The 24,544-nt window shown below is 41.2% G+C and overlaps 1 protein-coding gene across 6 annotated transcripts in view; it reads left to right on the top strand.

Moving 5' to 3' along the window:
• PRKN (parkin RBR E3 ubiquitin protein ligase) overlaps positions 1-24,544 on the top strand; it is a 1,380,350-nt gene that overhangs the window by 1,156,265 nt on the left and 199,541 nt on the right. For all 6 annotated transcript variants that reach the window (XM_024446449.2, NM_013988.3, XM_011535863.2 and 3 more), the window contains 2 exons: positions 2,086-2,147; positions 22,499-22,648. In XM_024446449.2, coding sequence (XP_024302217.1) covers positions 2,086-2,147; positions 22,499-22,648 — 212 coding nt within the window. The remainder of the gene's footprint in view (positions 1-2,085; positions 2,148-22,498; positions 22,649-24,544) is intronic.

Below are 24,544 nucleotides of genomic sequence, written 5' to 3'. Positions count from 1 at the left end.
CACCTTCACCTGTGTGAATACAGGTTTTCTCATTCCTCAGCCTGCCCTCCCCCAGACAAACACTCTCAGGGCTTCTGACCACTCTCACATCACAATGCTGAGGAATATGAGAAATGGCTCCATAATTTAGTTGATATGTCCTGCATACAATCCAGTTTCCTTACTAGGAAGTTCAACAGATTATATAATCCATAGGTCTTATCTCAAAGAAACAGGTTTTTATATCAATTTTGTTTCCAGAGAGAATAATATAAATAAGCCAGTTACAGTGGCTCACGCCTATAATCCCAGCACTTTGTGAGGCTGAAGCGGGAGCGTCACTTGAGCCCAGGAGCTTGAGACCAGCCTGGACAGCATAGTGAGACCCCATCTCTACAAAAAATTAGGAAAAAATAAAAAACTTAGCCAGGCTTGGTGGTGCACACACCTGTAGTCCCAGCTACTCAGGAAGCTGAAGCAAGAGGGTACCTTCAGCCAGGAGGTCAAGGCTGCAATGAGCCATGATTACACACTGCACCCCAGCCTGGAGTTAGACCCTGACTCAAAAAAATAATAGTATAAATGACTACAACCTAATATCGAGGAATAGTTCTATTGAAAAGACAGGGATGCAACACATTTTAAATGATATTAAGCATATACTGGCCTAAATTTTACATATCTATACATTTGGGCCTCGAACAATGTGAGGCTTAGGAACACCAACATCCCTGAAGTCAAAAAACTATGTGGAACTTTTGACTCACCCAAAACTTAACTACTAATAACCTACTGTTGACTAGAGGCCCTTCCTATAACATCAATAGTCTATGAACACATATTTTATAGGTCATATGTATTATATACTATATTCTTAAAGTAAGATAGAGAAAGGAAAATGTTATTAAGAAAATCATCAGGAAGAGAAAATGTATTAACTATCCATTAAGTGAAAGCAGATCATCATAAAGGTTTTCATCTTCATTCTCTTCACAGCTAGTGGCTGAGGAGGAGGAGGAGGGGGAAGGGTTGGTCCTGCTGTCTCAGGGGTAGCAGAGGCAGAAGAAAAAATCTGTGTATAAGTGGACCCACAAAGTTCAAGCCCATGTTGTTCCAGGGTCAACTGTATTTTATTTTACATAGAATATTTATTATATATGTTATATTATTATATATAAATATATATATTTAGGCCAATATTTATATTAATTATATAATTCTATAAAATTATATATTTACATATATAATTTATATATGTGAGTTATATAAAAATATATATAACTCATATCTATACATTAAATATAATTATATAATATTTTATACATACGTATTTTAATTGTGTGTGTATGTGTGCATATATATATATATATATATATTTTTTTTTTTTTTTTTTTTTTTACCTATTTACTTACTTTGTTTTACAACTGAAGAAGGAAAAGGTGAAAGTCTGAAGGAGCTTGGATTGATTGGGTGGAACGAGAAAGTGATAGGCACCAGAACTGCTGGGCCTTCTCTCTTGGTCCTTCCGTAAGATGCCCTTTCCAAACTCAAACGCAAGATCTAATAGGTCTTCACAAAGCCTCTTGACAAAACCAGGCAAGGTACTAACCGCCAGCTGAGCCCCCCAAAGAATGGATGTGTAGCTACCCGACCTTTGCTCTTACCTCTCAATGAGCAGGCCCCTGGCCTTGATGGTGAGCAAACAGGACATGATGAATAAGTCAGAGCCTGTGGTCACCAACTCCCCTACTCTGGCCCTGCGGAATCCTGGCTATATATGAGGAACCAGTGACATGCTGAACATGTTTCTAAGAACCAGAGTGGCATGACATCCTAAGGCCAGATCATAATCAGAGGGGAGAGAAAGCCTGGCCAGGGTCACATGCAACTGTTTTCTAAAGAGGTGCGGTTGGAGGCCAGGCAGCGGCCATAGCTCTTTTGAGGGTTTGGCTTTTTTTGTGGTTGGTTAGATGTGTGTTTTTCAGGTACACGTCTGTGTCCTCCCAAAAGGCAACACTGGCAGTTGATAGTCATAACTCTGTGTAAGAACATATAACCACACAGAGTGAAAGTGACGTTTTTGTGATTAATTCTTCTTTCCAACAGCTGGCTGTCCCAACTCCTTGATTAAAGAGCTCCATCACTTCAGGATTCTGGGAGAAGAGCAGGTGAGTGAGCATCTCAAAGGCTGCATCAGACTGTCATGAAAGATAGACGCTAATGAGACAGTTTGGGCTCCCCAGGGAGGCCGAGTATGTCTCCTGACCCTGGGTGCCCTGAAATGGGGAAGAAAACCATGCTGGAGATATGTGTGAGGACACTTTTTTCCTCTTCTATCCATCAGACCTGACAGGTTATTAATTGCTACATCTGCTATCTGCCAGTGCAGTGCATTTCATCTCAAGACTCAAGCAGGAAGCAAGCACTGCATAGTGGCAGATGAGCAAACAAATAAATGCAGAGATGAATTATGCCTGAGGGATCGATGGTCATAGACATTCCTAAGTTGCTGTCTGTGGGTGAATGTGTGAGCATTTTTTTTTTTTTTTTACCAGGTTTTTGTATTGGGTGTTTGTTATCTGTATTTCATGGCAGCCTTTTGTACACGGGTATGAACATGTGACGTCTATACAAAGGGTGACCATTTGAAGTGGATTATTTAAATGCTGTGTTGTGCTCAGTGAGGCGTGTCATAATTTAAATAGATATGCTAAGTAAATAATTCAGGGTGCTAAATATTATATATATGTACACACATATATAGTATGGAATGCTTAAAAATACGTTTCTTGATCCCTATATGGAACTACAAACTCTGTATTAGTATGTTAAATCTAGGTGTCAAGTTATCCTTAAAATACACTAAAGAGTTGGCAAAAGGCTGATTGACCTAACTTCCAGTGTTATTTATTTTATTTTATTTATTTTTTGAGAAGGAGTCTTGCTCTGTCGCCCAGGCTGGAGTGCAGTGGCATGATCTCAGCTCACTGCAAGCTCCGCCTCCCAGGTTCACGCCATTCTCCTGTCTCAGCCTCCTGAGCAGCTGGGACTACAGGCGCCCGCCACCACACCCAGCTAATTTTTTATATTTTTGGTAGAGACGGAGTTTCACCGTGTTAGCCAGGATGGTTTCGATTTCCTGACGTCATGATCCGCCTGCCTCTGCCTCCCAAAGTGCTGGGATTACAGGCGTGAGCCATCACGCCCAGCCCAGTGTTATTTATTTTTACTCCTAAAGATTGTCTCTGCCAACTTTGACCAGGAAATATGCAAATGGAGATGTGGCAGCTCACTTTCATCAATGAGTTTTTGGTTTGTGTGTTTTTGTTTGGTGTATGTATGTGGCAAAGTAAAACTGCCCATTTCCAATATGAGAATAAAAACAAAAGGATTAGTAAGGAGAGGATAAGAAACTGGAATCACTGCCACATCCTGGAGTTAGAGAATTACAGTACATCCCCTTCATTTTTCTATATTGTGAGTTTCCAGAATAGCAGGCATAAATGTATATTCAAATACAAGTGAAATCAGTTATCCCGTATTGCAGGTAAAAGTTGACAACTGACTCTCCCAAACATAACTCCTTGTGAAGACACCTGGATCTCACAGCCATTTCCCAGTGAAAGCCTAAAGACTTCTTAAAGCAAGAATCACTGGTTGTTACCCTGACAATTCTGCTCAGATAATGGAGTCTTCTCTTCAAACTTGTACCAATATTTGCAGTGTTTCCATTTTTGTTTTAGAGTCCATGGGTAATTAGTAAGGAAAGAAGCCAACAGTAATCATCTCCTCAGATCTGCTTTGTAAAGGTCAGGTCACTTTGCATTCTCCTAGAAATTTAATTGAGCCATAATCAAAATTAATATCACTACGATTAGTTTTGGTAATATAGTGCATCAGAGCAATATTGATCTCTATTTCCTAAAACGCAAACACACGCGCAAACACACACACACACATGCAGACATACACACACTTCCTTCTTTCTTTCAGCTGATACTTACTGAGTACCTACTATGTGCTATATACCATCCTAGGTTACAGGGATAGAGGAGTGAAAAATCTCCATATTCTACTTAGAGAAAACCATATTATATACACATAAACACATTTAGTGTATATTATGTTAGATGGCTATCATTGCTATGGAGAAAAAGGAAATGAAAAAGGACAGCACTCAGGTGTGGTGGCTCACACCTGTAATGATAACACTTTGGGAGGCCAAGGCAGGCAGATCATTTGAGGCCAGAAGTTCGAGACCAGCCTGGCCAACATAGTGAAATAGTGAAACCACATCTCTACTAAAAATACAAAATATTAGCCAGGCATGGTGGTGCACGCCTGTAATCCCAGCTGCTCTGGAGGCTGAGGCATGGGAAGCATTTGAACCCAGGAGGTGGAGGTTGCAGTGAGCCAAGATTGTGCCACTGCAGTCTAGTCTTTGTTACAGAGTGACCCTCTCTCACACACACACACACACACACAAAAAAAAAAAAAAAACAAGGACAGTGAATACTGGAGGAAGAGGTGAAATTTTATATAAGGTGGTCAGGGAAAGTTTCACTGAGCAGGTGACAGGTGAATAAAGACTGAAAGGTATCCAGAGAAGCCTCATGGTGACATCTGGGAAAGGAGATTTCCACAGAGTGGATGAAGCAACAACAGAGGCTCCAATGTGATCATGTGCCTGGCTTTAACATTCATAATAGTCCAGAAACAAGTGTGACTGGTGGAGGGGAGGGGAGGAGGACAGAGCAAAACAAAGAGGAAGGAGCCACATTGCATGAGATAGGGTTGCAATAATAAAGTGGGAGGAGGCCAGGCGTGGCAGCTCACACCTGTAATCCCACATCTTTGGGAGGCTAAGGCGAATGGATCACCTGAGGTCAGGAGTCTGAGACCAGCCTGACCAACATGGCGAAACCCTGTCTCTACTAAAAATACAGAAGTTAGCTGGGTGTGGTGGCGGGCGCCTGTAATCTCAGCTACTCAGGAGGCTGAGGCAGGAGAATTGCTTGAGCCTGGGAGGCGGAGGTTGCAGTGAGCCAATATCGTGCCAATGCACTCCAGCCTGGGTGACAGAGTGAGACTCTGTCTCAGAAAAATAATAATGATAATAAGGTGGGAAAAAATCCAGGCAGGTATCATGACCTGGGAGCCAAAGGAAGAAGGCATCTTTAGGAGGAGGAATCATGATCTGTGTCCTATGCTCAGCAAGAAGGACAAGGATGAGAAATGAGCACTGGACTCCACAATGTGGAGGTCCTTGGTAACCTTGACCATGGGCAGTGAGGGGAAAGCCTGCCTCGAATGGATTCATGTGAGAGGTGAACCAAAGAGTGGGAGACTGCAAATACATACATTTTAATTTTGGCAACTGGGAACTTAGCTGAAGAGGAAAGCAAAGAAATGAGGTAGCTGAGGGATGGAGATAAGAAAATGACCTTCTTAATGGGAAAAATTGCAGCATGTCTATGTACTGATGGTAATGATTCAGTAGAGGAGTTGGGAGACTGATGATGCAGAAGGGGGAAGGGAGAATTCAGGAGCAGTGTCCTTGGATGTAGGCATGGGCTTGGACAAGAGAGTGGCCAGTTCCGCCTGGTAACAGTGGGGGAGACAGAATATGCAGGCACAGACGTATGAGCATTGGATTTGATGGTAAACCTTGCGTAGGGTCTCTGCTGGTTGTTTCTCTTTTCTTGGTGTAACAGGAAGCTAGGTCATCAGCTGAGAGTACAGATCGGGGAAGAGTTTTAGAGGGAAAGGAGATGTATTAGTCTGGTCTCACATTGCTATAAGTAAATGCCTGAGACTGGGTAACTTATAAAGGAAAGAGGTTTAATTGACTCACAGTTCCACATGACTGGGGAGGCCTCAGGAAACTTACAATCATGACGGAAGGCGAAGGGGAAGCAAGGTACCTTCTTCAAAAGGCAGCAGGAGAGAAAAGTGCAAGCAGGGGAAATGCCAGCCAATTATACAACCATCAGATCTCGTGAGGACTCATTCACCATCACGAGAACACCATGGGGGGAATCATCCCCATGATCCAATCACTTCCACCCTTGGTCCCGCCCTTGACGTGTGGGCATTATGGGGATTACAATTCAAGATGAGAATTTGGGTGGGGACACAGCCAAACCATGTCAGGAGAGGATAATGAAATTGTCATTTAGGAGGGTGAGGAGGGAATAAACTTGGGAAATGGTTGAATTTGGAGTGAGGTCAATCCACTGGGTGTTTTTCTGACACACTCATCTGTGTAGGCACAGATGCAGAAAAGGCACTGGCATTGAAGTTTTGCGGTCAAAATGTAACAAAAACAAGAGGGAGGCTAAGAAGCTGAGGGTGGATCTCATCTTACAGTGTTACAACAACAGTGTAAGCTGAGGGTGAATCTAAGGGAGTGATTATGACCGACCATGAAATTTCAGCTGGGCAAGCAGAGAACCCAGATGAGAGAGAGGACAGGGAAAGTTGGTTACAGATGCCAGTGGCTCAAAGAATTTTCGGGATTTGAGTACTAGAAGGGTTGAACTGGACAAACAGGCATTGGCCAAAGAATGAAAGACTTCACATCGAGCTTGTGGAGGAGCTGCATGGTCAGCACCGACGAGGTCAGAGGAGGCCTAGGGAGGCTGTGTGTCTGATTTCAGATGGAGGACAAGGTGACGAGAGAAGTTGAGGTCATGGAATTGGGAAGTCGGAGAGTTGGGAGTACCACCCCTGTGCACGCTGAGATCTTCCAGAATTGCAAACTGAAGATTTGAGAAATGAGAGAGAGAGAGAGAAATGGATGTCAGTAGCTGACAGCAGAAGGGGAAATAGTGCATGGTGTAGGCTGATGGGTTGAAATGGAAAGTTGGAGGGCTTTAGAAGGAGAAAGGGAAAATGTTTTACTTACAACACTGTAGAGCAATGCTTTGTGGTACTGGGATTGCAGACACAAAAACATTTGAGGGTGCTGCAGGCGAAGTAGTGTCCTCAGGGACACGCCTGTTTCAGTTAGGGAAGAATGTAAGAAAAACATTGAGAAAGCAGATTGCAGTCATAGGGCAGTTACTGCTGATTGCCCATGAGTTCCCCAAGCATGGGGGAAGGGTCTCAGGGTTTGGGGCAGCTGGAATATGTGGTAGGAAAAAGGATACACAGAGTGGATGTGGAGCTTGGGGCTCAGCCTGGAGAGATGGAACAGGAGTCAGGCATTCTTTGGTGACTGTCGTGAACAGGGCATATCAGTCAGGGACGTTTATATCCTGATTATTCATGACAAGACCTACTGGCCTCTAGGCAGATGGTGGCAATGAGGCTCCCGAGAGGAAGCAGAGAGCTCTTGTCCCAGCATTCCTGCCAGCGGTGGGGGCAACTGCTCCAGGAGCTGGTGAAACTCTTGGGATCTCACTGGATGCTTGAGGCAACTGTTATCACTTGATAAAATAAAATGTTTATATTAATGTCTGTTACAAGCATCCTTGGACAAATCATTTTTGTTTCTCTAACTTAGCTTTTTGTAGACAAGGGAGAGTGAAGCTCAATCATCTCTTAGAATATTTGTAAATAAATAGGTTGCCAAGTAAGTTGCAAATATTGTGCTATACTAAAATTCCTCTGATTTTAAATGCTGTTTATATTCCAGCTTTACATAGTGGCAACAAAATAGACAGTAAAGTAAGCGTAATACTCACTTAGAAAGTGAGTTGATAAAACCTACAAAAATGCTGGTTAATTACTAATTCATTACTGTATGGCAGAGACCCACAGCAGACCTCTAATTTCTTTGTATGTGGTTCCTTTCTGTTTTCGTTGATCTTTAGTAGGTATCTTGATTTTTTAGATTTGGATTAAAAATTAAACACTATGTATCACTGCCTTCCCAAAATAAAAATAAACTCCTTAAAATAATACATTTATATTAGCTTCTTAGCCCCTTCTCTGATTTGTGTTCACAATTCATATTCATATAGCACCTTTCAACACTCCTTCCCCCTAGTCCAAATTCTTTGGCAAAGACATTATCACATTGTAGGAAACTAAAGTCACTCTGCAGTTCCAGGTGAGCCCTTCAGAAATCAGGTATGATGTCTGGAGTCAATAGGTTTGTAGGGCCTTTGAACCAATTGCATTTCAGAAGTACCTCCATTTATACCAGCTTCCTCCACCTTAGGTTTAATCACTGAAATTTTATGGAAATAACCTTTATCCATTCAACAAAAATGTATTGAATACTTTCTTGTACTATTATTGTGCTAGTGTTGGATAAAATAGTAAATGAGGAAGTCACAGTTACTGATCATAATTGATGCTAGGATGAAAACAAATAGGGATGTCACCTACTTTAGATGAGGGGTAGTTGAGGAGCCCTGAGACTAAGCGTTGAGGGGACACCAGCTATTGAAGGAGCTAGCATTATGGGAGTGGGCAGAAGAGCATCCCAAGCAGAGGAAAGCACACATCCAGTGCCCCCAAGGAGGTGAAGAGCTTGCTTTATTCAAGACACTAAATTAAACCAAGGTGGCTGGAAAATACTGAGCAGGAAGGACAGTGCCAAAAGATGAAGGCCACCTGGACCAAGGACACCAGGGTTAAGCATATGGGTTTTGTTCTGAGTTTAGTGGGAAATCCTTGAAGGTTTAAGCAAGGGGTTAGCATTATCCAAATTACATTTTGAGTATGTCAATCTTGTTGCAATATGGAGAGGCTCTGGATTAAGACAGTTGGCAGCGGAGACAAAAAGAAGTGAATCTTGAGAGGCAGAATTCAAGGACTTGGTGACTGACTGGCTGTGGGTCAGGGAAAGGAAGGAGTTTGAAAGTTCTATTTGACTGAGATGAGCAAAATGGGGCAGGTGAGATCAGAGGCATGGGATCTGAGCTTCAATTCTGAACACATTTGCTATGCCTGAAGCATGGAGAAGGAGATAAGTCGGGACTTGGATGTGTGAGTGAGAGCTTGGAGGACAGTGAGACCTGAGGTCCGAGATGGAGAGATAACTTTGGAATTACCAGCATGTAGAGGAAATTTTAAACCCATGGGGATTCTCAGAAGAAGCCAAGAAAGGAGAGACCGTGATTGGATGAACCGTAAGGAACACCAGTGTTTGGAAATTGGGTAAAGAGCAGCAACCAACAAAGGAGACCAAGAAGGAACCTCAAGGAAAGTAGAAGACAATCCAGGGCCATATGGTGTTGAGGAAGCTGAGAAGGCAAGTAGGCGGGCCTTCCGGAGGAGGAATGGCAATTTGTGGTGTTGAGGAAGCCAAGAAGGCGGGTCCTCCAGAGGAGAATGGCGATTTATGGTGTTGAGGAAGCCGAGAAGGCAGGCCTTCCAGAGGAGAAATGCTGATTTATGGTGTTGGGGAAGCCAAGAAGGCGGGGCTTCCAGAGGAGGAATGCTGATTTATGGTGTTTGGGAAGCTGAGAAGGTGGGGCTTCCAGAGGAGGAATGCTGATTTATGGTGTTGGGGAAGCTGAGAAGGCGGGCCTTCCAGAGGAGGAATGGTGATTTGTGTTGAATGCTACTGAGAGTTTGCAGAAGATGAGGTCAGGGAGCGTCCTTCGCCTGTGACACTGTGGCAAAAGTCACGAATGACCATAATGAGCAGTTTTGGGGGATGCGTAAAGACAGGAGCCAGAGTTTTATGGGATGAAGAGTGAACAGAAGGGGAGGATAATTCCTTCTAGAGGGTTTGCTATGAAGAGAAAGAGAAATGCAGCAACCACAAGACAGTTCTTTAAAGATCGAAGGGCCAGAACTTGTTTTACACTCACAGGAAGGATTCCACAGAGATGAATTACCGGTAATTTGAGAGAGAGATCCAAGAACTGAAGAAGGGAAGTACTTTGGAAGGCAAGAAGGGCTCAGATCCAGCAGAGAGGGAGGAATCGGCCCCTAACAGGAGGAAGGCCACTTTTTGTGTTGTGAGAGGGGCTGGAGAGGGTGAGTGCAGGTGCAGGTGTGTTCATAGTTGCAGGGATGTGAAGAGGAGAGATGCAGTATGATGGCTCCACGAAGGAAGATGTCATTTTTCACTGCTGCGTCTTCCACATAGAAGAGTACTTGACACTTAGAGTGTGCTTAGGAAACATCTGTTGAGCACATCAGGACATCAGCCATGATTCCTCTCTCCTCAGTGAAATATAAAGTATGGATGGCTGGAGAGAGGCAGGTCCTACCTACATTGGTCTTAGGAACCAAAAAATTGGTGCAACTCCAGATAAAAGTAATAAATTCATTTTCTTCTATAACTACTTCACTGTTATCCTAATTCTACTAATTATCATAACTATTACCAACATTTATAAAAATATTTCTTACCCTTGCTATGTGAAAACTTCTATCTCCTATGCTTTTGTAACTATCCTCATTTCATCTTTTTTATTTCACCCCTTTTTTCGGCGGGTTGAGGGGAAGAAAGAAGAGAGAACATGTCACTGGAGAAACACAATACAATCTTGAGGAAGTTGTAAATGCCCATTTGAAGTTTGTGGTCCATTATTTAAGAGAAAGTCATCGTGCCATTGTGTCCAGCTGCAGGGCTACACGCCCAGGGAAGGTGGAGGTGATGTTTTCCAGGCGTGGAATTTTGCCATCAGATAAAGAAGACCACGGAAATCTGTGTTTTCCAGGCAATGCTTCTGGTGGTAGATGACAGAAGCTGTCAGACCAGGAAGGAAGGTGGGCCTGGAGAGGCCCATGGCTGGAGAGGAAATATGGGGCCAATTAATTAGACGTCTTGATGAAGTTGAAGAATTTAAGCAATGTTCATACTTTAGCAAGAGATTTGGAAAGATAAGAGGTGATCATCAGAAAGAGACATATTTGGAATTGGGATTTCAGAGGTGGTACAGTTTCTCAGGATGACAGAGCCTGGGGATGGACCGTGCGAATAGAAGGATGAGAAAAAGGTCAGCAGGATGAGAAGGTAAAACAGAAAGAATAGATTGATGGTGGCTTATTCATACAGGAGTTCAAGTCCCCAGAATGATGACAAGAATCGGAGAAAAGGTGAGAACAGCCTGAAGCTACAGTCTTCAAGAATGAGGGGCTGCATCCAGGAGATCAGGGGGCAGCAGTGAGGAGGTGAGGGTGAAGCATGGGTCTCAAAGGAGTGGTGGGTTTTGCAAGGGAGAGGAACCCAAGCATTTGGGGGCGTCGTTAAGGAGCCAAGGGACAACCATCTTCACCTCTGGCCTTGAAAGATGTGAATATGAAATGAAAAGCAGCCTTCACTTGAAAAGGTTGCAAGGGAGATGGATCAGTTTCAGTTAAGTCAGTGTGGACAGGGAAACCTTTCAAAAGGCTGATTATACAGGGCAGTTAGTTTATCATGAACAGGAATTTCAGGGGACACAGAAAAAAGGCTTAGGAGAGAGGGAAGCATGGAAATTGGCTGATATTAGGAAACGTATGGACCCATATGGGACTGACAGTTTGGGTGATAAGAATGACAGGCAGCTTGAGCCTCTGAAGCAATGATGTGGGGCATGAGGGATGCATTGTGATGATCTTTGGAGGGACGTAGGTGGACATCCAGAGCACCTGGCTGTTGTTACCTGTGCTCAGGTGTGCCTTGGCATTAAGGCAGCTTCTCGGCTTTCACCCCAAAAGGCTTCCTCAGTGTTAGAGGCTTGTCCATTTCAGATAGTTATAAATATGAAGCCATCTAATACAATCCACATGATTTTAAAAAATATTTTGGTTCATCCAAGTTCTAATTAGATCATTAAATGCTCAGTGGAGCTAACCCATTTCACTGCCCCACCCGTAGCCTTACACAAAACTTCCAGACAATGACATGTCACCCTTCCCTCAGAATCACCTAGAAACCATCGCAGTTGCTTCAGGACTGGACAAAGAGCTTCTAGAGAATAAGCAGAAAGAAGAGAGGTGAAAATACTGAATTCAGGGAAAGAAAAAGACTAGGGAGCCAGGAAGGAGGATGGTGGCAGTGACCTGTGCCCCAGCTCCTTTCAAGGAAGGCAGAGGCAACGCTCATTTATCTGAGGGGCAAGGCTCTTGGATTTGCAGATTTAGGTGCTACCCTAACACTGTTTCTCTGGGATGAGAGCAAAGAGTGAAATAATTTACAGCCACAGACAACCCTGCTTTCTGCAGTGCGCTCCATCAGGAGACGCTTCACCACCCTGTTTCCATAGTCTACAGGAGTCTCTGAAGTCACATCAGCTGTAGGAACTCTTGTGAGGAAAACAGCCTTTGTAGCCCTCCCCTGAAAGGGGAGCTACACTGGAAGTGGGTGCTGCTCCGTGTCACACATGGAGAGGGGACAAGGAAGCCAGTTGATTTGGATCTCTTTTCCAGAAGATTCCACAACTACTAGAAGATGAGATGCTTTTTGGCATTGGGTCACCTGAAATATCTGGAAAAAAAAAAACCAAAAACTTCTTAAACTGTGCTTCCGGATATGATCTGTTGCTTGTTTTTTTTGTTTACTGGTTTTTTTTTTTTTTTTTAGGTCTTGTTTGATGTTGCCTCTTTGCATTTGATTTCAGCCATCTTGATAGTTTTTTCTATGCAATTAACAAGGTCCAGCCCTTTCTCTAGCCAATTCACTTCATCAGTAGCTGACAGATGTTCAGGGATGAAGAAAACATTATTAGCAACAGAATAGAGAAGAAAAACAGCAGGGTCATGGGGGCCACCACTTAGGCTGTCACAGATGCTCTCAGGCTAACTACCTGCAAATGAAAAAAAAAGGAAGATGAAGATTACTGACAATCTAAGGAGTGCTTCTTTTTTGAAAAAAATTTCTAATGCGTATAGAAAATGGGACATTATCTGCATAGCAAGGAGAAATGGCTAAATCATAAGCTGATGTTCCTCTCTGACGTTATTATAGTTTTTTTAATCCAAAGAGGAAGTTCTATAATAAACTATTTTTCATTAGTTTCTAAAAGATGGCAGAGGAATAGTGAGCTGAATTTTCTTTTTTTTTTTTTTGAGAAAGTCTCATTCTGTTGCCCAAGCTAGAGTGCAGTGGTGTGATCACAGCTCACTGAAGCCTTGAACTTCTAGGCTCAAATGATCCTCTCACCTCAGCCTCCTGAGTAGCTGGGACTACAGGTACATGCCACCATGCCCAGGTAATTTTTTTTTAATTTTTTGTCGAAATGGGGTCTTGCTGTGTTGCCTAGGCTGGCCTCAAACTCCTGGTCTCAAACGATCCTCCCACGTCAGCCTCCCAAAGTGCTTGGATTACAGACATGAGTCACTATACCTGACTGAATTTTTTTTAATAGAAGGGAATAAGAGAAAGAGGCAGCTGGGTATTGTGGAAAGCGTGGTCTTGAAAGTTTCAGCCTTAGTTCTAATGCAGCACTGTGGGTTCTCTGCCTGTGTGGATGTCAGCAAAAGATGGCACTTCTTTGTGGCTCCGAGGCCACATCCATCACTTCACAGAGTGGACAGAGAATTAACCGAGCAGCAAAGTGTCGGTGCCGTGGTTTGGTTCACTGCAGTAGCTCAGTGAACAGAAGCCTGATCACGACCCCTCTGCTCTAGGAGGGATTGAGGGAGAAGCCCAGGGAGGGAGTCCCCGAAGTGCTTTTGGCTGAGATGTAACAAAAGCTATAATTTATGGAGTGGTGTGGGGAAGCAAAGGAGACCCAAGAGCTGTACCTGAGTGCCCCCAAAAGGATACTCTGGGAAACACTATGACAGCACAAAATCAACCTCCTTAGCTTGGAGGACCTGAAAGGGGGCCACATAGCTCCTGGATGGCTGGCAAGCATTGACTCATTTTGACAGAACATGTGCCATTTTTCTCAGACTTGAGTTTTACCTCGGATCCCTGTACTTCACATTTCTTGTAGTTTTTAAAATTAGATTCTTTTCTTCTTTTTCTATGAAAGCATGCAAATTAAGCATCAGAGTGAAGCAGCCTGTTCTCTCCTACAGAGGAGAGGCCTTTTGGATGGTGTTTCAGTGGTGGGGGATGTTTACGCTTGGTTTCCCCATAGCCACACTTCTCAGGTGACTACCCATGTTCCTTTAATGTACTTAACATGCAGTCAACAGCCAGCAAGAAAGGGGAAGTTCACTGGCCCTTCTGGGGCTTGAACGTGCAACCGTTCCTTCATTATAGAACACTTTTCTACCCAAATACAGGTCTCCTAACCTGCAGACTAACAGAATACAATATCTATTTCATTATACTCTCCCATGACCCATTATTTAAATTCTTAAAATACGAGTTTATTGAAACTTCTATGAATTTTATGCTTTAAAATGAATACTTTTTGTTCTTAAGAGAATCCATGAGCATTCACATAAAGACTGAATAATTTACTCCCCAAAGAAATAAAATAGAAAGTATAGCAGTGAGTCAGGATTCTACCTGCATAACGCATACTAATGAAATGTATTTTTTGCTATAATCTGATAAAATACAGGAGAAAAACAGTTATTGTTTTCCTTAGGTTCAGAGTAGTATTCTTTGTGAATATTTACATTTATTTTCAAATATTTTTGCAAATATTGTACAATAAATTCAAAATTATTTTAGTTGTCTGTGGATTATTCACTTTATGAAAGCATATCTAGAAATTTGCAAACTATTTTTAATAGCTTAAAACTGTCAGTATAGTTTGACATGTAAATATTAGCATATCTACACACACACAGATGCTCACTGTGCATTCCATAGACAAAACATGCATGAGTGATTTTTCCACTTTTGAGCTCAGTTGAGGGTGGACTCTATATAAACCCAGTTCACATTATAAATTAATCACATTCCTCCAAGTTAGTCTGTTTATAAAATGCTATTCAATATTGATAAGTAAAAAAGCCCTTGGAACCAATACAAGAATATCAAGGGAAGTGTTTGTTCCCTTCCACCAACTGGGGTAGATTTATTAGTTACTTTACCATTATCACACATATTTTATACTGAGATAAATACAGTATTCTGTATTAGTGCTAGTTTGTCACAAATCTCCATTAATGCGCTTTCAACTTCGTGCCAGTAAATGGTTAAAAGGATCTATGAAAACTGTGGATTATATCTCGAAGGTAACTTAGTAAGGATCTTTGCTAATGATATGTAATTACATGACTAAATTATTTCCTTAGTATATTAAGCTTTCTACAAATACTAGCACATTCTTTGTTCCAGGTCAGTGTTTTTCTTATAAATATCACAATGTTAATTTTGAAAAGTAATACTTTCAATAGGCATATTTCAGGTATTGTGTGTACTTTTTAATCATCAGAAATTCCCAGGCGCATATGTTAAAATATTTGTCTTCCTTTGAAAAAGGAATTGTATGCTCAAATGCTCTTGAGTTTATCATAAACAAAATAAATAACAATAATTTTTAATAAATTCCCTAGCTAATGAATGGAAAGGGGGACATAATTTTTAAAATTCCATCAATATTTGAGACCACTATGAATGCAGTCAACAAGAATTTCTAAATTGTTATTGGACGTTGTCCATACATTAACTTCTTCCGAGATAAAAGCTATTGTCATAGTAATAAAATTACCTAACTAAATTAAATAGACTAGGTGATGTGTTGTCAAATGAGAAAATAGTCAATTACTTAAGAGCAACTTATTTTAAAAAATTATTTTTGTAGGTAAAATAATCCTGAGTTACTGTTATTAATTTCCATTGCTATTGATTATCTTATTAGAATTATTTAATTAATTGTCACTTAATGGAGTTAGATTTTATTAATTTATAATTATTTACTGTCCACAAACTATTGACAAGATACTATGCCAAACTCAGGCCATGTGGATGCACAAAAGGATAGAGGAATGAGTGCAAAAGTCTGTAATAAGGTTTAAAGGGCTTGGAGCACTTTAGGTCTCATGCACTCACCAGATTTACCCAGGCAAAGGCCCTCCTCAGGACAAAGCCCCACACTGAGCAGAAATTTGCTCAAAATAGAAGAGAAAAAAAGGAAGGAGATAGTCCGGTTAAAAATGGGGTAACAGAGTTGTGAGATTGCAGAAAGGAAGCCCCCATATTTTTGAACACTGCCTAAAACACCAGAACAGAAAAGTCTACAGTTTTTCTGAATCCTACCTCTTTGTAAAATTTCAGGAGAACTAATTTCATGTAAAACTGAGCAACAGCAAAGGAACAAGGTAAAACTCTAACAGAAAAGAAGCAAGGTTCAGTCCCGTACAGGGCTATTAAAATGATGCAGCGAATGTAGAACAAAATAGCATCCTTATGGACAATGGAAGAATGCCTCAAATCAAAGGAAAGCCAAAATAACCTTTTCAAGGTGAACCAAGTTATTAGGAAATTATTAGGAAATTACACAAATACATATAATAGATATTGTCTTAAAAGAAATAGAAAATGAAAAGTGAAGGAAATTCTAAAAAACACAAATAAGAAAATTAAAAAGGGATTTGAGATAAGCTGTTGGAATTAGAAGTGAGGTAAAGAAGATCCAATATATGTATACTAGAAATGACATAAGAAAAACATCAAAGCAACTGAACAAAGTGAACCCTAAAAACTAAATTCAGTACAACTTTCCTGACACAGTATGCTTGTGAAAATTGATCCAGAAATGACCAGCACCAAGATATACTCTAACAAAATTCCTGGATTCTAAAGAAATGGAAAAAATTCCTTGGGCATCTAGGCAAAAGAGGGCAATTAATTTACAAAGGAAAAAAACATTATTTTCAGGCTTATCCATAATATTTTATACCAGAAGAACATGAAGTAAGAGATTTCAGATACTCAAGGGGGAAGTATGTATAAATATAAGTGTGTATGTATATATATATATATATATACACACACACACACACACACACAATCCCTGTATGTATATCAGGATTGTATATTCCTTATATGTATACTGTAAGAAACTATAATTCCATATATTCTTTTTATGTATAATATAAAGATTTTTTATGCAGCCAAACTCATTATCAAGAATAAAAGCCCTAAATAAACTGTTACTATGGAAGAACTCAGTGACTGTATTTCCCAGGAACTCTTCCTGAGGAATTTACTAGAGAACAAGATTCAAGCAATCAAAATTACTGGGAAAACATCAACCATCAACATAAGTACTGATGGTTGTGCCTGCATGCGTGTGTGTGTGTGTGTGTGTGTGTGTGTATAGAAGTAAGATAACATGAAGGTTAAGAGAAAGACAGCATAGTTCGAAATGGCCGCATGTGTTAACAGTGTGGATACAGTATAATTATTTTAAAAATTTTGTGGGAGAATGAGTAGAGCATATGAAAACATATTTGAAGTTTTCAGAAATCATAGGCACAGTGATGGTATTGTTATTCTGAAATTGTGTAATGTGAGAAAAAGCAAATGAGCAATTATGGAATATTGTAATTATGTCATCTTCTGTGTTCTTGAGAACCAGTGTGGAAGAAAGGAGCAACAGAGGTAAAACAGAAAATGTTAAGTAAAAACCTTGTAGTTCTGAGATACCTGTCCTTCAAAGTGAGAACTGAGAGGACTTAGAAACAATGACTAACTTAGGAGCACTGAACATGCCTAGCACCCAATTTATGGTCTTGAAATTTTTAAGAAGCAGTGCTTCTTTTAAAAGTAGGCAATTCCTGGCCTGGAGCAGGAAACGTGTAAGATGAACCTGAGTAATTTTCCATAGCAGATAGCGAGGAAGCTATTGAATGGTGTCAGGATCATGTTATGGAAACTCATCTTGATAGGATTGCCATTGGCCAGAGATGAGATAGTTGTGCATCAAGAAGGAAATCACTGCATTGAGTTAAAACACACTTAACACATAATATGTTTAAGTTTATGAGTTTATAAATGTTCATTGAAAAAAAAGATTCAAATATTTTATCCTGCCTTTCCTATTCATACAATACCACTGGATAACCAAAAAATAGAAGTATTCTAACTAATAAATGAAGGAATGTTTGAATTAAAATATCATTTTTCAATCCCAATAAATTAATCTAGTTACTGAATATTAATGACTGCTAAGCTTTCAAGAAGAGAGAAAGACATTATGATCTTCCTGATAGAAGTACAAAACACCATCTATGAAGTAGTATTACAGAGAGACAGAAAGAAGGAAGAGGAGAAAGGAGGACAGAGAGATAGAGGGAGGGACCAAAAAAGGAGGAAGGGATGAGAATGAAGGAGGAAGGAAAAAAGGAGGAAAAGAGAGGGGGTAGGGAGAGAGGAAAGAAGGAAGGAAAGAAGCTGAATTAAATGAAGCCTATAGACCAATTATCAATTTATAGGAAAAAAATTATCCAGGTGCATTATAAACTGCAACATTGGATACAATCAGCAAAATGAAGACTGGGAAACTCTGTAGGTCACATGTCCTGCTTTCTTCAACAGATAAATTGCAAGGAAAAAAAGACAATGGAGGGTGATGGACTAAACAACACATCTTCAAAACAGACAAAATGAACTGTAGTGTTTAGAAATGAACCTTGAGTGATAAAGAAAAACAAGAGAGTGATTACAACTTTGGGAGGCTGAGGCAGGCAGATCACGAGGTCAGGAGATCGAGATCATCCTGGCCAACATGGTGAAACCCCGTCTCTACTAAAAATACAAAAGCTAGCTGGGTGTGGTGGTACACACCTGTAGTCCCAGCTACTCGGGAGGCTGAGGCAGGAGAATCGCTTGAACCCAAGAGATGAAGGTTGCAGTGAGCCGAGATTGCGCCACTGTACTCCAGCCGCGTAACAACGAGACTCCGTCTAAAAAAAAAAAACAAAAAACAAAAACAACAACAAAACCATGGTGTCTTTTAGGAAGGGGTGAAGGTGTTGTGATGAGAATAGATACATGGAGGGCTTCAGGCGGACCTGGTAAAGTTCTGTGTCTTGGCCTGGGTAGTGTTTAAAAAGTTGGTCACTTTATAATGTATTAAGCTTATTCTATGTGATATTTACAATAAAAAGTTTTTTGTTTTTTGTTTTTTGTTTTTGTTTTTTTTCAATGTGGAAGGATTTGGACAGGTCAAGACAAAAAAGTAGGTTGAGCAGTTCGGTGATGCAGAGCTGAGGGAGAGGGGCTTGGAGGATCACCGTGAGATCATTCACAGTCATAGGCGGAGGTGAACAGAGCTGAGGGAGAGAGGCTTGGAGGATCACCGTGAGATCATTCACAGTCATAGGTGGAGGTGAACAGAGCTGAGGGAGAGGGGCTTGGAGGATCACCGTGAGATCATTCACAGTCATAGGCGGAGGTGAACAGAGCTGAGGGAGAGGGGCTTGGAGGATCACCGTGAGATCATTCACAGTCATAGGCAGAGGTGATCGAGAGATGTCCCGCTTCCTTTTACAATTCCGGCAAAACTGCAACCAAACTTAAATCCACCATTCTTTCTACTTTGCCTTTGCAGCTCAGTGTTGGTGCAGAGAAACAGAAGACTCTGCTCACGAGTTTTCCTTTAAATTCATCATCTCTGACCTCAGGAGGGCCTGGGTGCCGCCCAGCAGTGATACCGACTTCCTCCGCCCTCCCCTTCCTTCATCACTCATACGTTTCTTCTTCCTCAAATCCCAGTACCCCTCTGCCTGTCTGCACCTGGGCCTAAGCACTCAGCCGGGCCTCCTCTTCCTAAGGATGGCTGCCTGCTCTCTGAAGGCCAACCCTCCACACATCCTTTAGATCCTCCCCTCCAACCTACTCAAGGACAGAGCTCTTTCTCTGGCTTAAACTGTCCATCTGCGCTTCTCGTCTCAGTCCTGCCTTCAGCATAGTATCATATCGTTATTTCTCCATTTTCGAAAATCCTTTACAACCCCAGAGTCCTATCCAATGGCCTCCCCGATCTCTGCTCCCTTTTACTGGCAAACTCCTTTAAAAAAGTGTCTATTCTCACTTCTTTGAATTTCTCTCCTCCGAGTCTTTCTGGACTCCACTCCAAAGGCTTTTGGCTCCATGACTCCACTGAAATGACTTTTCAAGACCGCAATGGCAGCCACACACCCAGCTCCAACCACAGCTCATCATGGCAGCCTCCTTGAGATGTGTTCCCTTGGCTTTCGGGACACCTGAGTCCTCCTCAGTTTTCACCTGCCTCATAGGCTGCTGCTCCTTAGTCTCCTTTGCTGGTGTTTTCTCACCTTCCCTGCAGAGGTTGGATAATCACATCTGACCTCATAACATGGTCAGAGTGTCATAGATCTAACCTAGTGTCGAGCTTTACGAATAATTTCAAGGATGCAGGTAATCCTGAGACTCAGGCAGGACCTGGAGACGTTCAGGTCGCCAGCGCGCCTCCCCAGGTCCTTCCTTGGCATTTGGGGCTGTGCTGTGGGCAAGGGTTATGTATGAAGCCTCTAAGAAATCTATGCAGTAATCACTCACAGGCAATCTCTCAGTTACATAAACTGTCTCATCATTCATTACCTGATGAAATATCTTCATTGTATCCTCTGGTAATTGCACAGCTTATGACACTGTCCAGAGAACCTTACCCCATAAATTCAGAGATTCTAGTTTGTTTGCCATCCGAACTCTTAGACCTCTTTTCTGGTAAAGGTGCTGTATGTGTATGCCATTCACACGTTTACAAGGAGGCCAGGTCATCTTTTTCTTTCTTTCCTGGGGACAGAAGAATGAGAAAATGGATTAGAGGCTCAGGCTAATGACTTCAAAATTTGTACCCAGGACCCATGCCTTTCTCCTAAACTACACTTATTTATTCAATTAGATACTGGACATTTTGACATCGCTGTGTAATAGCTTATCAAACTGAACACGAGCACAATAGAAATAATTATTTCATGCCTCAACTCCCTACACACACACACACACACACACACGTGCACACACACACATACCCTTTCTTCTACCACAGTTGTCCCCACCCCTACCCGCCTCCTGTCTTCTCAGGAAACGGGGAACTACACTCCACTCACAGTTGACTCCTCTTTTCCTCTCACACCAGGCATCCAACCTGACTGAAAATTCTGCAACTTCTCCCTTTAATTTATACCCAGAATTCAAACACTCATCCTACCTCCAGCACTACCTTCCCGGTTCAAGCCAGTGCCATCTTTTGCATAGATGTTGACATAAGCTCCTAGCTTACGTCATAGATGTTGACATAAGCTTCTCTGCTTCCTGCCTACACCCTGGCCCTCCAGAGGGTATTCCGAACATAGCAGCCAGGTGGATGTCTTTAAAATATTAGTCAAATTATGTCATGCCTCAGCCTCAGAGTTCTGCAGTGGTTCTGGTATCTTCCAGAATAACACCCAGGGTTCTGAAAGCAGCTGTCAGGGAACTACATATTCTAGATCCTCACAAACTCTCCAACTTCACCTTCTGTTTTTTTCCCTCCTTGTTCTCTCTGCCTCCGCCCCACTGCCCCCCTTGTTGTACCCTGAACAGCCAACCACATCAGCACACTGGGGCTCTGGCCCCTTATAGTATTCTCTGCTTGTCTGGAATGCTTATTCCCCCAGGGATCCATGTGACTTGCATTTCTAATCTCCTTCAGACATTTGCTTAAAGACACCTGCTTTGTAAGGCATTCTGTAATCACCTCTTTAAAATTGAAATCTCCACCTTCTTTGGACTCTCCCTCTTCCCTGTTGATTATTTTCTTCCTCACTTAGCACCATTGGAAATCCTAGACATTCTAACCTCTCGGTATTGACTGTTACAGTGCTGTGGATGAAGGCGGAGAAGTTTGTTCATTCACTGCTGTATCCCCAGCGCCTCGATAGAGTCTGGAATGTAGTAGGCTCTCAATAAATGTTGCATTATTTAATTAATAATTGAGCAAACCTATTTGACTTGATCTGAGTTTATATTACAAATAATGTAAGATCAAAAGTGTAGGGCTGCCACAAAGAAGACCTTGAAAATGGTCTGATGGAGTTTGGAATTTATTTGCAGGCTGGGGAAACCATTAAAGGAAATTGAGCAAAACGGTACCAGGAAGAAATGACATCAGGGACACAAGAAATCATGCTTTAAGAATAAGAATAATGATAAAGGGAAAATGTGATTGTTTAACATTAGTCTTCTTCTAGCTCATTGATATTGTGTGGGCTGCCAATATTATGAGGTGGAATGCTGGGCCGATTTTCAAAATAAATATAAAACCTTGTTGAATTTTAAATAGAGGCATGACAATATATTGCTTTATAAGATTGATAGCGATGTATTAAAAGTGTTCATCATTTAATACATAAATATGTTCCTCAAAATGTATATGAAATAAGATTGTTAAAATACAGTTGGTAGAAGCGATCTTATAAAATACAAAACTTTGGAAAATCTATTTTCTGAAGACAAAAAAGCAAAAAGTAAACACACTTATATGTCTTGCCAGTTGAATTTGGTAGACTTTTACTGCATTGAACCATATTCGTCCTCCCCTATCAACCCCGTGGCCCTCTCCCTCCCCCTACACACACACACACACACACACATGCATTATTTTACTGAAACTGGTTAAGCAAGAAATCCCATGCACTGTAGCTCCTAACCCTTTGGCTGAAATTTGCAGTCAGTTTGAAAGCTCAATCTGCTTTTTGGGTTTTGCAGTACAACCGGTACCAGCAGTATGGTGCAGAGGAGTGTGTCCTGCAGATGGGGGGCGTGTTATGCCCCCGCCCTGGCTGTGGAGCGGGGCTGCTGCCGGAGCCTGACCAGAGGAAAGTCACCTGCGAAGGGGGCAATGGCCTGGGCTGTGGGGTGAGTACTGCCCACACCCCTGGAGCGGTGTGTTCCTGTCCTTGTTTGCTTTTGCACATGGGCTGGGATTATATTTTTATTTTATTTTCATTTTCCCTTTGGACTTAGACATCTTTGAACTTACATATAAGAAAATAGATTTTAAATTCCTTTATAGGACTCCAGATTTGAAAATTTATGTATTTATTTTGGTGAAAACAGTTATATGAAGATTTTCTGCTTTGGTTGCTTATGGAAGTATTTACTTTAAGATGCTGTGAGCCACTAGGCCAGACTTTTAAACTTTTCTCCCAGCACTCAGCTGATGCAGAGCAAAAATTTATTCTTTCTTCAGAGTTGCCTTTAAGTAGACAGGAGTGAAGGAGAAAGAATTCTCCATCAGTGACGTCTTAGTGACATTGTTTGCCTGAGTATTTCAAGAAATAAAATGAAGGTTAATGTGGAAAACTTGAAATGTTATTATGTCATAAAAATCATTTTAAGTAGAGATGAACAAAACTAATGGTGTCTCTTATGGAAGCAGAATAAGAAATGTGGAAAATGTTTGTTCTAAGAGGTCAAACCATGTGACCTGGCCGGCTTTTCAAATGAATCTATGGCTGCAAGCTGATGGCTCAAGGGGGGAAGAAGCATAACTCAAACACAAAAAGGCTTACTAAATTATAGGTTAAAATGACAAATGGATAATAATCCTGATATTAAATTTCATGCAGCCTGGAAAAGTGAGAAAGTGTATGTGCATATAAAAGTCTATTGAATTTTGATGAGAAACATTTCTTTTAAAATTGCAACTTCATGAGGAGTTTTGTGCAAGAAGGAGCACAGATAGCAGAGTTGTATTAGCCAGTCTTGATTTGGGGCTGAGCACTGTAAGTCATCTAGAAATAAATTAGCATTGGTTCCCCTTAGTAAAGCTTCCTGTATGTCATGCAGTGGGGCTCATAAAATCCTGGGTTGAGCAATGGAGTAGAGGAAGTGGAAGTTGAAAAATAATGAGATACCATGGTGCCTAAGTGGAAAGAAATACCTCTGGATTCATAATCGTGATTGCATTAGAATGAAAACTCAAGTGTTTACTCTCCCTGGAGACGATGGAAATCAGGACACACTCTCCAGCCTTAGTCATTATCATGTGCTGAATTATCTGCAATGATTGTGTGTGGCCTCAGCAGGTTGCCAACCTCTGGGATCAGAATGCTAGCAAATGTTGTCTTTTAAAATGAGCTTTTAATGAATTGTTTTTAACTACTGGCTAAATTATGTGCTTCTGCCTGCTAATTGCCTACTGTGGTTCCATCCTCTAAAGCTGGATTTTAAGATTTTAACTTTTCTTAGGAGGTAGAGACTTTTGCTGGCCCATCTTTTGCATTTGGTTGTTGACCTTGCTTTAAGAATGTTGAAGGGTTTATGTAATGTGAAATCTTGAATATCTTTATCTTCCCTTTTTTATACAAGTAAATTATAAGTAAATAACATACATACTTAAGCTGCAAATCATGACAAATTATTTTAGAAGTGAATCAAAATGCTGTAATGTCTTTGGATTAAAAGAGTCTGCAGGCAACTTTACTTAAAGGAGGATAGTTATGTTCTCAAGGTTTCTTTGTCCTTTGGCAATTGTAGGTAGCGTATTCTTAATTTATCTTAATTTGTTTCGATTTGTTGGTTTTGGAGGTGTGTTTGTTGGTTTGTGTATTAGTTATCTATGACTGCATAGCAACTCCAAATTCTAACAATTTAACATGATAGAAATGTATCATCTCACAGTTTCTGAGAGTCAGGAATCACCCGTGAGTGGCTTTGCTGGGTAGTTCTGGCTCAGGGTTCCTCCTGAGTTTGCAGTTTAGCAGGGTCACAGTTATCTGGAGGCTTAACTGGGGCTGGAAGATCTACTTC

This window comes from Homo sapiens, chromosome 6 (assembly GCF_000001405.40).
Source record: "Homo sapiens chromosome 6, GRCh38.p14 Primary Assembly".
In the NCBI taxonomy this organism is placed as follows: Eukaryota; Metazoa; Chordata; class Mammalia; order Primates; family Hominidae; genus Homo; species Homo sapiens.
The sequence above is the reverse complement of the archived record's forward strand: the minus strand, read 5'-3'. Positions and strand labels throughout refer to the sequence as shown.